Below are 14,713 nucleotides of genomic sequence, written 5' to 3'. Positions count from 1 at the left end.
TCTTAACAAGACTTTCATGTTCTGATTCCTTCCTACTTCCCCATATTCATCTCTGTCACCTCCTCCCTAAAATACACCTACACAGATACACATAAACACACATAATTCTCCAACCACTCCCAATTATTTGTAGCTCCATAAACACGCTACAGTCTTTCATTTCTTTGTGTCTTTGCTTCCTCAGCCTACTTGCCATACCCTCAATCTTTCTCACATCTCCATGTGGTAGTTCTTGCTCTTCCTTAAAAATTCAACTTTCTTCTCTGAATTCCTATCATGTTTCATAGAGCACTTATCACATTGCAGTGTAATTTATGTGTGCACCTGCCTGCCTGCCTGCCTCTCTGTATAATTTCAGTGGCTTTGTAATAATAATATGGTGAAGAACAATATTAAGAAGAATAGGATGAAGGCTGTTGATATTATTCTGGTTAATCACTCAGAAAGAAATGGAAAATCGGGTTGTGACGCAACATCTATCAAGCAGAAGTAAAGGATGAGAGGGTACAGTTGTTACAGCTCTAAGCCTTAACAGTGAAACTTAACTGAAGAAGGATATGGACCTGATGAGAACGAGGCCTCCTGAGGACAAATCACACTAGCTCTGCAGAGGATTGATGGCTCCAGTAGGCAGATGGGAAAACCCATCAAAATGGGACTTTCCAGGAACATAACCATGAAATTGCAATTGAAATGGCTTCTCACTTTTCTTCTTTTAACTAAGTGAGAGTAAAGTCACCATGCAGGATGGCATACTGATCTGTGCATGTGTGTATCTTGGTGTATTCATGTTGGAAAGGCTCTTAAGAAAAAAGCTGCTAAGAATGAGAACTCAATTTTGAGGATTTGTCTTAAAGTTTCTTCAAAAAGATTTCTCAATGCAAATGGTACACTTATTTAATATACGGCTAAGGTTAGCATAGTCTGCCTGCTGCTACCACAGCCCATCAGTCTGTCTAGCTGCACTGGGGCAGGGGGTGCACCTGGGTTAAGTCTAACAGAACTCTGACCCTTTTTTTTTTTTTTTTTTGAGATGGAGTTTCACTCTTGTTGCCCAGGCTGGAGTGCAATGGCACGATCTCGGCTTACTGCAACCTCCGCCTTCCAGGTTCAAGCAATTCTCCTGCCTCAGCCTCCCAAGTAGCTGGGATTACAGGCGCCTGCCACCATGCCCAGCTAATTTTTGTATTTTCAGTAGAGACGGGGTTTCGCGATGTTGGCCAGGCTGGTCTCGGACTCCTGACCTCAGGTGATTCCCCCCCCCCCCCCGCCTCAGCCTCCCAAAGACTCTGACCCTTTTAACCAGGGAATGGGAGGCCCACACAAACAACTTTCTCTCGCCAAAACTAAATAGAACCCAGGATTTATTTGAAGATGTAAACTCATCAGTAATAGGACTGAACGTCTTTTTAATATCAACAGAGTAAATTCATTATGAATAATTACACTTTGACCCTAAAATATTCTCAAGTGCTCAGTTACCTCAATGTACTTAAATACCAAAAAAACTGCCTGTGCTGAAATATGTACTGGCTAGGCTTATCTGAAGGGCTAAGGGTGACTAAATTCACATCCAAAGTTAAATCACAATGTAGTAAATAACAGGTTTCTACTTCTTGCTGAATTCTGTGAGAATTCAAAGAGAATGCTTGCGGTTACAAACTGCTGTGTGAGGTTGAAATCGTCAGCCACTACACTTCGTGGGCGCTCCTTTAAAAACCACAGCAAAACACAAGGATGCAAACAGATGGCTTTGAAAGAAATTCGCGTGAGGGGAAGCAGGAGACCAAGGAGGAATGAGCCTGCAGAGGGGACGGTAGCCGCCCCCTCAGCTCTCCACAGGAGTGGTCTCTGGGGTTCCCGGGCTCACAGCAAAGTGAGAGGTGGGGGTCTCGGGCGTTCCCCTGAGCTCCCGGAGGGCCTGTGGCTCCTTTAATTCCAGGACCACCCGGCTCAGAAGGCCTTTGAGCAGCTGCATTTCTCGGAGCAGAAGGTCCACGTCGGGTTTCAGGGCTCCAGCCGATTGTTCCAAGGGCGTCGGCGGAGCGCAGGCGGGTGGCCCCGCAGTCGGGGCGCCGCTCGCCGGGAACTGCAGCCCGGTGGAGGTGGTGTTCCGGACGGAGGTGACCAACGGGACCGATCTGGACACCGGGGGCTTTCTGAAGGAAAGCGGCCTATTACCAGGAGCCAAGGCTGCGGCCCATGGAGCTGGGGCGGTGGTGGAGGCCGGGTCCAGGGGAGAACCTGTGAATGCATTACGCCCAGTCACGCGCGGCTTGCATGGTTCTTCTCGGCGCTGGGCTGGGGGAGGGGCGTAGGGCGGTGGGCGGGGATGGGGAAGGCCGGAAGAGGGGTGAGGAGGAGGGCGGCGAAGGGGAGATGGGAAAGGCGGGGGGCGGGACGGGAACCAGGGGGCGGGGGTGATTCGTGGGTGCCGAGAGGCGGAAGCAGGGCTGACCGCCAGGGTCGGCGTCCGGGAGGGTGTGCAGGCACTCACCCGGCCCCGGGAGCTGCAGCCACGGACTGCGTTTCCGGACACTGCGGGTGGCGGTAGCCGCCTCGCACCAGTACGATTCGAGCTCCTCGACCTCGGGCTCCGGGACTGTGTACTCGGCGCCCCAGTCGAAGCGGCGCACCGCGCGGCTGTACTTGTAAAACGCGAACTGCAGCGGCGTGTCGCGCTTCTGCGGGTGCAGGCGCGTGTCGCAGCGCAGCACCACCCCACCCAGCGCCGCGCCGCGGGCCTCCCGCGGACCCATCACCCTCAGCACCGGCGCCCGGAACAGCTCTACGGAGAGGGCGGGGAGCAACGGCGCCGGCTTGTCCACCGCTCCGCGACCCCGCTCCTTCCTGCTTCCCGCGAGGGCTCCTTGCAGACCCACAGACCAAGGGGGGAGGGGAGGAGGCCGTGTGTCCACGTGGAGGGGGAAGGGGAGCCTTCTGAAATGTGGGGCAGGGGGACCGAGTCCACGAGGGACGGGGAAAGCTTGAAAGGAAGAGGGACCAGGCCAGACGCTTCATGTCACATCCCGACTGACACTCAGCTCGGGTTCTGCAGCCTAGAATAGGAGACGCTGCGCCTGCCTTGCAGGACGCTAGGGAGTCGCTCCTTCGTCCCAGTCCCACAGTGGCCCCTGCCCCTGCCAGAGCTGCCCTCTCTGTGGGAGTCCCCAGCCAGAGTGAGAAGCCAGGATGTGCGTCGGGGAAAGGGACCAGCCTCCAAGCAGGCGGCGGATCAAGCGCTGCTTCACGGCAAAGGAGAGGAGACAGCGTCCATAGTCTAAGAGAAACCCTCCAAGTGGCAGCTATTTGAACTTCCGCCCCTTCTTTTCTCGCCGAGCTCCTGTCCCAGAATTTCTCAATGCTCATTTGCCTCCCTCCCGGGGCCCCTGGTCTCTCCCACCTTGCACTGTCACAGCCACCTTAGCGGAGAACATGGGCGCGCTCTCCACCGGGATGCGCATGGTGCCCGAGCACTGGTAGCGCCCGCTGTCGCTGGCACGCGCCTGTAACACAGTGTAGTTGGCGCTGGAGTGGAAGTAGCGCACGGCCTGGCCGTCGTGGTAGTAGTGAAGCTTGTAGACCACCTTGTCGTACCAGCCGCGGCAGCGCAGGACTAGCGGCTCACCCTCGAACACTGGCGCATAGGGCACTTGCAGAATCAGCCAATCTGCGACAGACACCACAGACACGCTTGACTCCACAGAAAGTCCAGCCCTGGAGATCTCCCACTCTCACAGCCTTCCAGCTTTCTCCTCTTAACTCCTCTCCCTCCCTTCCCCGCCATCTCCCACCGCTTTCTTTTCTTTTCTTTTTCTTTCTTTTTTTCTTGTTCTTTTTCTTTTTTTGAGACATGGTCTTGCTCTTGTCGCCCAAGCTGCAGTGCAGTGGCACAAACTCGGTTCACTGCAACCTCCACCTCTTGGGTTCAAGCGATTCTTCTGCCTCAGCCTCCCGAGTAGCTGGGATTACCGGTGGGCGCCATCACACCCAGCTAATTTTTGCATTTTTTAGTAGAGACAGGGTTTCACCATCTTGGCCAGGCTGGTCTTGAACTCCTGACCTCAGGTGATACGCCCACCTCGGCCTCCCAAAGTGGTGGGATTACAGGCGTGAGCCACCGGGCCTGGCCTCCCACTGCTTTCTTGAGCGGACAGGCCTTCCCTGGTGGTTGGCACCCAGCAGCCTCATAGTGCAAGATATATTTGTAGGTGAGTGGGAAGGAAGGGGGATGGCTGGTCTTTCACTTAGCCAGGGAGCAAAGATGCCAGAGACTTGGCTCCACCCTCAAAGGGTTTTGACCATGAGAATCAACTATAACCTCCTTAGGATGGTGTCAGAGTCCTCCTGACTGGGTCCTGCTTACCTCTCCCTCACCATGGCAGTATTCATTCCTGCCCCATTTCCTCTCTACTTTCCTCATCTTCCACTCCTAACAGGATAAGTTCCAGCCATACTGAACTGTTGAGAGAACTGGCCCTGCTCTGAGCCCGAGGCTTTTGTACCTGCTATTTCCTCAGCCAAGAAGACTCTCTTTCACCTGTTTAAGTTCACCTGCTTGTCCTGCATGTCTAGGCTTAGACCTTATCTCCTCCAGAAAACATCCCTGACACCCCAGGAGAGCCTTAGGTATCTCCTACAGCACCTCATAATTACCCTGTGATCATTATAGCACGCTTACATAGCCCTAGCACAGAGCAGATGCCATTTTAGGTGTTGTACATTGAGAAAGAATCCTGCAAGTAATAGCCACAATCCACATGCACTCCCAATCTGTAAGCAGTAATTACTCCTATAGTACTCAGTATAATTATTGCTATCACCAATGATTTCCGAACAAGAAACCACAGAGTATGAATATGAAGTGTGTGTAAGTGCTAATCTGAACATTGAGTGATGTGCTTTAAATTCTGAATACAAATTGTGGCTAGGAGTGCACGATCTCAGCTCACTGCAACTTCCGCCTCCCAGGTTCAAACAATTCTCATGCCTCAGCCTCCTGAGTAGCTGGGACTACAGGCACCCGCTATCATGCCCAGCTATTTTTTTTTTTTTTTTTTTTTTTAGTAGAGAGTGTTTCACCATGTTGGCCAGGCTGGTCTTGAACTCCTGACCTCAGGTGATCTGCCCGCCTTGGCCTCCCAAAGTGCTGGGATCACAGGCTTGAGCCACCGTGCCCAGCAATCCTGTACTTTATTGAACAAATTATTGTTATTTTTCTTATCCTGTTTTAAAACCCTTCAAGCATCTCGAGAATCAGTTTCTCAGCTGACTCCTGTGTACACATATACACGTCTGCAATAAAACTTTGAGTAAGTGCTCAGTTCAATTGCTGCTTTTTTTCTTTAGCAAATCATAATTCACTTTTAATCCTCAGAGCAGCCGAAGAGATACATACTATTATTGTCCCTTCTTTACAGATGTGGACACTGAGGCACAGAGAAGCATCACACTGTTCAACTGAGAGTAGATCCTTGATCTATGCTCAGACTGCCAGGGAAACTCACCTTTCCTGTTTGGTGAATTTCCTTTACTGCTCCCTCCCCAACCCCCTAAAGTTCTCTGTCCAGCACTCCAGGTCCTTGGAGCCTTTGCTCTTCTGAGCTGGTCTCAGAAACAAACAGAAATGTTCACACTGTGCCTCACACTATGGCAGGAGGGTAAGGGGACCTTGGGGGCTAGGCATGCCTTACTGCATCTCTCGCATAGTGCCGTGCAGGTCCCTACCTGCTCCAGAGACTTAAGATAGGCCCCAGTGTGGCCCTTGTTTCCTGCACCTTGGGATTGGCCCAGTGTTCCCTCCCACCAGAGGACTAGTATTGCCAGAGGAGACACGTGCTCCCCCTCCCCTCGTGCTCAGTCCACTCACCATTGGATACAGAGAGGTGGATGGGGTCACTGACGGGTGCTCCCCGTGTCTGGCATCGATACACCCCTGGTGTCTGCACCTCAATGCTCTTCTTGTGAGAGGGCAGAAGTAGGTGGCCCAAATACCAGAGAGTGCTGATGGGCTGGAGCTCCAGGAGCAGTGGGTGGTATCCATCACACTTCAAAGTTACCCGCTCCCCTTTGAAGATGGTGGTCCAAGGTGGATGTAGAGACAATATGGGCTTCTCCAGAGTAGCTGGGGTGGGGAGTGGGGTGAGAGGGGGCAGCATGCAAAGAGAATCAAGGTGAGGTGCCCAAAGAAACGACCTGAGTTTGGGAAATCTTAGGAAACCCCAGCTCGCAGGCCCCAGCCCATGTACTAACCCATCCCTGCAGGAGAGGAGATCACATTCATTGGGTTACAGACTACCAGTCCATCAGCCAGCACCCATTTCTAAATGCCTTCAAGCAAATTTAGTCCCAGGGGTTGACGAGAGTGGGAAGAGACACTATCCCAGCGCAGCCAAGAAGTGAGGAGTCTACTTGAAAAGGTCACTTAGGGGGTTGGAGTGGAAGCTGTAGAAAATTGGGATGAGAAATTTATAAGACTCACCAGCTTGCCCACTGCTTGGAACTGCAGAACAGGAAAGAAGGAAGAGGAAGGAGAAGGAGAATATTGGCGATGAGAGGAGAGAGACTCTTGACGACAAGAAAGGCTGAATGGTCCCAAAACCTGTTTTTCTTCTTCTGCCCCTGGTTTCCCAAGCTCTGAGAAAGCCCCTTCTTCTTCACCCCTCCAAAAAAAGATAATGAACCACTTGGAAACTGAGGATTGGATACCCACCCTCCTCTCCCCATACCTTGGTCCACCCTATTCTCCACCACCCAAAGCTCTTCTGCTGCCTCACTGTGGACTCACCCAGGAGCAGAAGGGCTGTCAGTGGCCACATGATGGATCTGACTGCAGCAGCTGCAGAAGGATGGAGATGCACTGGCATGAGATGGGGAACAGAGAGAAAGAATGTGGCCAGTGGATGCCACTGAGTACTAGGAGACATTGCTGCTTCTCCCACCCACTCCTAGTTCCTGAAGATAGCAGACCAGAACCAGTGGGAGACAGGCTGAATATCAGGTATCCCAAGTGCCAGGCACTGTCTCATCTACCGCATCTACAGCCACCTCACAGCTCAGGCCAGCCCTGACTACTGAAAGGAAGGCCTGCAGAACTTGTGCCCTCCACAGCACAAGAGAGCCCCATAGAACCCCAGGCTCCAGCAGATGACCCCGCCATCTTCAGGCTCCCATTGACATCCCACTCCCATCCCATCCCTTCTCCACCTTCCAGCCAGCCCTGCAAGGCTCAGCTGAGGAAGACACGGCCTCATGTCCTTAAGGACCTTTTTCCTGCTCACTCCTGATGACAGACATTGGCATGAGACCTAGAGAGGTCAGTGTTCGGTTGCCTGCCCCCAGAGCTCACATCCTGCCACAATGAGTAGACGAAAAGGCATGACTCACCAACCACCCTTCACATCCCTATCATCTAGTTCCCCAGTCAAGGATAGAAATGCAATGTGTTTCTTCTTCCTCCCTTCCTGAAATCTTGAGTTCTCATAAATTCTTAAATTCTTAAGAAGTTAGAAAACTCTTCTTTCCTACCCATCCCAATGAGCTCATCCTGTGGCACTTCCAATCACTTGTTCTTTTCTTCCTTCCTCCCACCCTTCCCTGCAACCCCTCCCCAGCCACGCCCCAGTTCCAGAACTCCTGACCTGCAGCAGAGAAGTCACTGCATCGGCCCCTCAGAAGCCTCTCAGATCTGACCTCGGGGCTCTACTTCTTGTGCTTTCTGAGCCATGTGACCGTACCTGAGCAATGAGGAGAACCTGAATTTTCATGTAAATACTTAATGAATTTTCCAGCCTGATAGTGTGTCTCCTTGGACTCTATCCTGTCCTTACCTGTGGTTGTTTAGAACCGGGGCACCTTGATCCCTTGGAAATCTGATGGGAAGGAGATCAATTATCAGGTACTGTCAACTCCCAGGAAGATAGTATCTTCCCCTCTTGCTGATGCCTGAAGTTCCACTCTGAGAGTCCCCTCATATTTTGCTTAATGGACTAGCCCCTTTTAAAAATGCAAATGCCTCTTAGGAAAATGTGACTGGTCATTTAAATTATGCTGGTCACTTCAGATCATGTTTTGAGTGCAGGTTTTGATAAAAGAGATAGAGTCCTGTAGATTTCAAACAAAGTAGGGACATATTTGACAATGTGCCCAAGAGTAGGGGAGGCAGAGAAGAACTAATTACTGGGAACAGGGATGATCACCTGCCTGCTTTAGGAGTGCCTGGGCTGACCAGCACTCTTGTGCTTCCCCTCCATCCTAATAATTCCTCGTCTCAGGGCCAGTGTGTGGCTTCCCACATGATCCACAGCCTGCCACAGAGGTCTGACTTCTGCACCAAGCCACCACCTCAATGGTAAGAATGCAATGCAGTTGTCAGCTGTCCTCTTAGGCAACACAAGCTGGCTCTATTTTGGCTTCTCATCCCCCAGAGCACAGATCTCAGCCCCTTTACTCGATTCAGAAGAAACCTTAGTACACCAAAACTTTGTGAACTGTATAGTCGTCCCTAGAAACCTCTGGAACCATCCATACTGTTCATATTATACAGTGCTCAGAATTTGACTTGAAAAATTTCCCACGAAATATTTATTTATTCTAGGCTCTCCTCTAAGTTTTTCCCAAAGTGAGTCTTTTTACTCCATCTAGGACTTTTCCCCAGAATTTCTAATTCTTCACTCCTTTACAATGCAGAAAAATTTAGAAATTATCATTTGTAACTTGAGCAATTATTTGAGGCCTATCACAACATAACATCTGGACAATATATGTCACCATTTGATAAGCATTCTGGTGATAAAGTGTTCTCAGTGATAATTACAGTAATGAACTAATGCTGTTGTTGCTGATGACAGCTCACTTTAGTGTCTCGGCATGTGGCAGGCACTATGCTAAGTGCTTCACAGATATTACTGCACTTAATTCTTGTAAGGCCCTTTGAGGAAGAATTATTAATATCCCAATTTTGCATATGAGGAAACTGAGATGATGAAACTGGGATTTGAATAGAAGTCTGTCTCCAAAATCTGTTCTCTTATCTCTCTGATTGTCAGGGATTCAAGATGCTGCTCATGGCCGGCTGTCATTATTGGTCTTTGCAAGTTCCCCCTCTTATTGTCTTACCTTGTTGACTTTCACCCACATTATTGTCCTCCTCCCCTCCACATAAGCACCCACTGTAAAATGTTTACTGTGTGTTCCCATATACATGCTATTTTTTTTTGTGCTTTAAGTTCTAGGGTACATGTGCACAACGTGCAGGTTTGTTACATATGTATACATGTGCCATGTTGGTGTGCTGCACCCATTAACTCGTCATTTACATTAGGTATAACATGCAGTTTTTAGCTTTGAGAAATATTTAGTGTTGTTAATTTACATAAGTGGCATTGTGTTCTAGATATTATATTCACTTCTACTTTTAAAAATTAATCCCAGATGTTTCAAATTTGTTCAGATTGCTCTACATGCATCATGTTTATTGCTTTTGACTGCCCTAATATTCTTTTTTTTTGAGACGCAGTTTTGCTCTTATTACCCAGTCTGGCATGCAATGGCATGATATCAGCTCACTGCAACCTCCACCTCCTGGGTTCAAGCAGTTCTCCTGCCTCAGCCTCCTGAGTAGCTGGGATTACAGGCGTGCATCACCACGCCTGGCTAATTTTGTGTTTTTAGCAGAGATGGGGTTTCACCATGTTGGCCAGGCTGGTCTTGGACTCCTGACCTCAGGTGATCCACCCACCTCAGCCTCCCAAAGTGCTGGGATTACAGGCATGAGCCACTGCGCCCAGCCATGACTGCCCTAATATTCTATGCTTCTGCTACACTGCACTTGTCCATTCCCCTAACATCCTAGTTGCTGCCCACCCTCAGCTACCACAGACAATTCCACAATGGACTTCTTGGTACATATTGTGAGGGCTGGATGAATTAACATATGTAAAGGGCTTAGAACAGGGGTTGGCACATAGGAAGTTTCATGTAAGTTAGTACTGGTAAGGACATGATGCTTCCCTACAGAGCCCTGAAGCGCCTTTATGGGATACACACCTGAGAGCAAGACTGCAGAATTATGTTCATGAGTTACATGCACACTCATTCCAAAACTCAAATCTAATTCATCAGCAAGTCCTGATGACTCTACCTGCTACATTGATCTTTTTGTACAGTAATTTATTCACTGAGTCGCTAGAGAGATACTTTTAAAATGTTAACCATATTGTGTTACTTTCTCTCAAAATTCCCCATAGGTACCCTCAGAATAAGTTCCAAACACCTTCCCATGGTCTACAGGGCCCTACAAATCGGGCCTTTCTCTGACCCTTGGCCTCATTTCCTACAACTCTCCCCCTCACTCACTCTGATCTAGCCACATTGTGTTTAGAACAGTTGCTGGAACATTCCATGCTTAGTCTTGCTCCAGGGCCTCACTTGCTGTTCTTTCTGCCTGAAAGATTCTTATTCTCCTCCCAGATTTTTGTAAGTTTCACTTCCTCACTTCACTCAAATATTACTTCCTCAGAGAGATGGTCGCTAACCGTGCTATCTAAAATAGTATCTCCTCACTGTCATTTGCTGGCTCCATATTTTGCTTTATTTCTCTTCAATGTACTTGTCACCACCCGGAATTGTATTTGTTTGTTTGTGGTAGGTTCCCCCATTAGAATGTAAGCTCCATTGAGGCAGGAATTTTTTCTTTTTTGCTGATGTATCACCTACAGCAGTGACAGCACATAGCACGTGCTGTGTAAGTATTTGTGGCATAAACAAAGGAAGAGATTGAATACCGTGATATTACTCTCAAAAGTGGCTGCAGAAGCTTATACACCCACCAGCAATTCACGTGGCTCCCATTCCCTCTTGTCATCAATATTCAGTGTTTCTTACCTTTGTAATTTTATCAAACAAATTTTTCTTTTCCTAAATAAGAACATTTAAAATTATTCTTATTTTATTTTCTGTAACCCAGGATAGGGCTGATAATAATATATTTTTTAAAATTGCTATTGCTATTCTTTTTTTTTTTTTTTTAGACGGAGTTTCACTCTTCTTGCCCAGGCTGGAGTGCAATGGTGCAATCTCAGCTCACCACAACCTCTGCCTCCTGGATTCAAGCAATTCTCCTGCCTCAGCCTCCCGAGTAGCTGGGATTACAGGCATGCGCCACCATGCCTAGCTAGTTTTGTATTTTTAGTAGAAACAGGGTTTCTCCATGTTGGTCAGGCTAGTCTCGAACTCCAGACCTCAGGTGATCCGCCCGCCTCAGCCTCCCAAAGTGTTGGGATTACAGGCGTGAGCCACCGTGCCCGGCATAAAATTATATTCTTTAATGTAAACTTTTCAGCAAAAGGAAGGCATTTCGATACCAAAGGAGTGCAAAGGACAATTTCAGAATAGAGAGCAGAGTATTTCTTTACATTGAATGTCTTTAGCTTTATGAGAAATTCACACATAGTTAATGAAAACTAACAGTGCCTGTCTGAAGGAACTCTGGCAGGAAGGCTGTGCTGTAACTCTCCGTATTTCTCCACATCTCCTCTTGTCCAGTGGGAAGGGAGAAGGTTGATACCAAGAGGGAAGAAAACTTTTAAGAAGACAGGACTAGGGTGAGGCCTATCCCAACACACCCTCCTTAAACTTCCTCCTATGATTCTAGCAGGTCATTTTATCCCTTCCCTAGTCTCTTCTAAGTTGTAACTGAACCAAGTTTTTCTACCTTGGGCTACTGGGCTGGGTACAGAGAGCTTTGTGTTTGGGAGGTGCAATGCTACTCCATATCTGATCACCCAGACCTGTTAACACCTCTCAGATCATTACTCTCTATTCCTCCTGTCCCTAGCCAAGGCCCTTGTCTCAGAAGGCTGGATGAGAACAACAGCCTTCAAATCCACCTCCCTCAACCTCTCTTCTAGTCGCCCCATTCACCTTATACCAGAGTGCCAGAATAATCATCCTAAACATCACTTTTCACGAGTTCCTCCTTTACTCAAAATTTACCTACAGAATTCGATCAATTTTCTTATGGACATTTAAAGAGCCTCTATAGCACATTTAAGAGCCTCTGTAGTCTATTTACTTCTCCATTATTATTTCCTTCCGCTGAACTCTGTTTCAAAGGATTTGCCTTCTTTTTCCCTGACATCTGCATGCCAGTTTTCCCCTTTATGCCCTTGCTTACATCATCCCACTCTGGAACGTCCTTTCCTCTCTTCTCCTGTTCTGTAGATCTGTCATGTTTTTCAAGGCCCCACCCATGTATTATCTTCTTCATGAGATGCACCTGAACACTCCAGTCCCCAGTGAGCGATCTATTCCCTGAGTTCCTGTCTTGTTCATCATCATCCCCACTTCCAAGTGCATAGCTGGTAGTACAACATCCTATTTATATAGAGTTTGGTGTTTAATATGGTTTGAAACAAATTAACATGGTAATTTACTCATTTTCCTGTTGGTGGACATCTGCACTGACTTCTTTTCAATAAAAGAAAGGCATTTCAGTACCAAATTTTGCTTTTACAAGCTTTGTTACTGTAAACGTTATCACACCTGTCTTCTGGCGTGCATATGCTAAGTTTTCTCTTGGGCGCATCCACCTAGGCATGGGGTTCTGGGTTACAGAGTATGCAGATGCACTGTTCAACTTACAAGATAATGGACGTGTGTAACACAATAAGAAATATGTACTTTTCTCTGCCCCTTTGGGTAGCTCTTTGGCAGAGAGCTACCAAAATCCTGGGGATTTCCTGAGTGATAGGGATGAGATGAGTATTTCTTGTTATGTATAATTAGCCCCTTCAATCATGCCTGAGTTTATGCTAATAAGGTGACTCTTAACTCTGCAATTAGAGGGTTGGAACTTTCAGGGGTCTGTGCTAACTCTGGGTAGTTAGAGTAAGAATTGGTAAATTACACAACATCTAACTGGTTTCTGCTGAGAATTAGAGAATTGCTTGGTGTGGAAAACTCACCTTGACCTCCTGGAGGAGAAAAGGGCTGGAGTTTGAGTGAATCACCAATTGCCAATGATTTAATCAATCATGCCTGTGTAATGAAGCCTTCATTAAAAACCCTAAATGGTGGAGTTCTAAGGGCTTCCAGATCAGTGAACACACGGAGAAGCTGGAGGGTGGCACACCCAGAGAGCGTGCAAACTCTGCACCTCTTCCCACATACCTTGCCCTATGTATATCGTCATTGGCTGTTAAGTAAACTGTTTTCCCAAGTTTTGTGAGCCATTCTAGCAAATTATTGAACCCAAGGAGTTGTGAGAACCTCTGACTTATAGCTGGTCGGTGTCAAGTACCAGAAGCCTGGGATTTGCAATTGGCTTTTGAAGTGAGAGCAGTCATGTGGGACTGACCCCTTAACCTATGGGGTCTGTGCTGACTCTGGGTAGTTGGAGCCAGAATCGATAAATTGTAGAACATCTAGTTGGTTTCCACTGAGAAGCAGATAAAAACTTGGTATGGGAATCCATATGTTTCATGTCAGAGGTATTGTGAGCGGAGAACAGTTTTCCTTTTCATGTGCTTGCTATCTAATGTTTATTTCAGAGACAATGTTGAGCATAGCTGCATTGGGACCTCTGTCAATTACAGAATCCTAAATGGCACAAGCCATAAACCAGATCCATTGTAACGATTCCTCTTCCCTACTCCCTCTCCAACCTCCCCAGGCTAGACAGAAAGAGACGGGTAAATGCTTGCTCTCCCTATCTCTCTCTCTCATTCTTTTAGCTCTGTTCTTGCCTTCCTCATCCCTGTTGATAGATCCTCTCCCTGAGGTTTCTAAGTCCTTGACTGAGGCTGGGTCCCCTGGATAGAGTCTGGAGATTTAGCTGATGCCAGACATGACATTCATCCTTTAAGGTCCAGCTTCATTCCCATCCTCTTCAAGATGTTTTCCCTTATTTTGCTGGCCCAACTCGATTCAACTAAACAAAATTTACTGAGAACTTACATATGCCTCATTATACTAGACATCAATGACACAACATGGAACAAAGAGCTCAGGAGTATTCTCAAAGACCTCACCCTCTGGTGAACAAAAATGAGTAATAAAAAATTAAAATGCAGTGTGGTGATAGAGGTGCACAGATACACATGGATGAGGTGTACAGAGATTACATTTATCTCAGCCAGCTGCATCCATCTTTTCTTTCCCAGATCTCTGATAGCTTCTACTATCTGTAAATGAATTCCCCATTTAGCAGGAGCTTGCAGGATGCATTCATGCAAATGCGAGCATTAGCTGAAATCAACTCCATGTAGAGTGGTTATAACATAGTATCTTTGGAGACACATCCACCATGGTACATTGGCAACTGAGCTTCCATTTTTTCAAGTCCATCAAAGTCATGACAGTTCTGGTCATTCTTGCAACTCCCATTCACACAATTGTAAATCAGTCCTCTCAGGCTGTAGTGTTGTTTACAGACTTCTACCAATTCCCAGATGCCTCCTGATCTTTTTTTTTTTTCCCTCGAAGGTGGCAAGAACTACCATAAAACTCTCATTTTACCATCGGCATGATTCTATGTCTTTGTTTCTTTGTGGTATGTCTAGAATGATCATGTGCATGTCTCTTGTAAATCATTTTGGGTCAAAACTGCACGGAATAAATGGCACAAAGAAAGGCCACAGTGGAGAAAATCACACCATGTAATTCAGAATAACATGGTAGAACAGCCACTGGCTGAGGTCATGATAAAATGATG

At 47.5% G+C, this 14,713-nt stretch overlaps 1 protein-coding gene across 6 annotated transcripts, besides 8 other annotated features; it reads right to left on the bottom strand.

Moving 5' to 3' along the window:
- Positions 1 to 1,347: 1,347 nt before the first annotated feature.
- On the bottom strand, positions 1,348 to 7,947 carry FCRLB (Fc receptor like B). 6 transcript variants are annotated; one of them, NM_001002901.4, is made up of 8 exons: positions 7,830 to 7,947; positions 7,641 to 7,736; positions 6,788 to 6,838; positions 6,482 to 6,502; positions 5,870 to 6,124; positions 3,404 to 3,670; positions 2,498 to 2,788; positions 1,348 to 2,244 (listed from the first exon to the last, which is right to left on the bottom strand). In NM_001002901.4, the coding sequence occupies exons 3-8, from the start codon at positions 6,816 to 6,818 to the stop codon at positions 1,829 to 1,831; spliced, it is 1,281 nt and encodes a 426-aa protein (NP_001002901.1). In that variant the 5' UTR covers positions 6,819 to 6,838; positions 7,641 to 7,736; positions 7,830 to 7,947; the 3' UTR covers positions 1,348 to 1,828. The 6 variants fall into 6 exon arrangements, with proteins under 6 accessions (NP_001002901.1, NP_001307170.1, NP_001275760.1 ...); NM_001320241.1 differs by lacking the exons at positions 7,641 to 7,736; positions 7,830 to 7,947 and adding an exon at positions 7,207 to 7,234; NM_001288831.1 differs by lacking the exons at positions 7,641 to 7,736; positions 7,830 to 7,947 and having other exon boundaries at positions 2,498 to 2,684.
- Positions 2,001 to 2,050: an enhancer, noted in NCBI's record as "active region_1999". NCBI's record gives its function as "activates an Ori minimal core promoter by ATAC-STARR-seq in GM12878 lymphoblastoid cells {active_cell/tissue: GM12878}" and the evidence as "EXISTENCE:reporter gene assay evidence [ECO:0000049][PMID:35858748]".
- Positions 2,311 to 2,570: a silencer, noted in NCBI's record as "silent region_1487". NCBI's record gives its function as "represses an Ori minimal core promoter by ATAC-STARR-seq in GM12878 lymphoblastoid cells {active_cell/tissue: GM12878}" and the evidence as "EXISTENCE:reporter gene assay evidence [ECO:0000049][PMID:35858748]".
- Positions 2,601 to 2,650: a silencer, noted in NCBI's record as "silent region_1486". NCBI's record gives its function as "represses an Ori minimal core promoter by ATAC-STARR-seq in GM12878 lymphoblastoid cells {active_cell/tissue: GM12878}" and the evidence as "EXISTENCE:reporter gene assay evidence [ECO:0000049][PMID:35858748]".
- Positions 2,661 to 2,900: a silencer, noted in NCBI's record as "silent region_1485". NCBI's record gives its function as "represses an Ori minimal core promoter by ATAC-STARR-seq in GM12878 lymphoblastoid cells {active_cell/tissue: GM12878}" and the evidence as "EXISTENCE:reporter gene assay evidence [ECO:0000049][PMID:35858748]".
- Positions 3,111 to 3,250: an enhancer, noted in NCBI's record as "active region_1998". NCBI's record gives its function as "activates an Ori minimal core promoter by ATAC-STARR-seq in GM12878 lymphoblastoid cells {active_cell/tissue: GM12878}" and the evidence as "EXISTENCE:reporter gene assay evidence [ECO:0000049][PMID:35858748]".
- Positions 6,886 to 6,985: an enhancer, noted in NCBI's record as "active region_1997". NCBI's record gives its function as "activates an Ori minimal core promoter by ATAC-STARR-seq in GM12878 lymphoblastoid cells {active_cell/tissue: GM12878}" and the evidence as "EXISTENCE:reporter gene assay evidence [ECO:0000049][PMID:35858748]".
- Positions 7,066 to 7,165: an enhancer, noted in NCBI's record as "active region_1996". NCBI's record gives its function as "activates an Ori minimal core promoter by ATAC-STARR-seq in GM12878 lymphoblastoid cells {active_cell/tissue: GM12878}" and the evidence as "EXISTENCE:reporter gene assay evidence [ECO:0000049][PMID:35858748]".
- Positions 10,545 to 10,594: a silencer, noted in NCBI's record as "silent region_1484". NCBI's record gives its function as "represses an Ori minimal core promoter by ATAC-STARR-seq in GM12878 lymphoblastoid cells {active_cell/tissue: GM12878}" and the evidence as "EXISTENCE:reporter gene assay evidence [ECO:0000049][PMID:35858748]".

Source organism: Homo sapiens, chromosome 1 (genome assembly GCF_000001405.40).
Source record: "Homo sapiens chromosome 1, GRCh38.p14 Primary Assembly".
NCBI classification, from domain to species: Eukaryota; Metazoa; Chordata; class Mammalia; order Primates; family Hominidae; genus Homo; species Homo sapiens.
This window is presented reverse-complemented; position numbering and strand designations above follow the sequence as displayed.

What these genes read in the sequence shown, in the direction of transcription:
- FCRLB (NM_001002901.4), bottom strand. Translation starts at nt 6,818, where the DNA reads ATGTGGCCACTGACAGCCCTTCTGCTCCTGG. An exon ending in TCCAAGCAGTGGGCAAGCTG is followed by an intron (nt 6,125 to 6,481) that starts GTGAGTCTTATA and finishes TCCCCACCCCAG; the next exon opens with CTACTCTGGAGAAGCCCATA. An exon ending in CCACCTCTCTGTATCCAATG is followed by an intron (nt 3,671 to 5,869) that starts GTGAGTGGACTG and finishes TGTCTGTCGCAG; the next exon opens with ATTGGCTGATTCTGCAAGTG.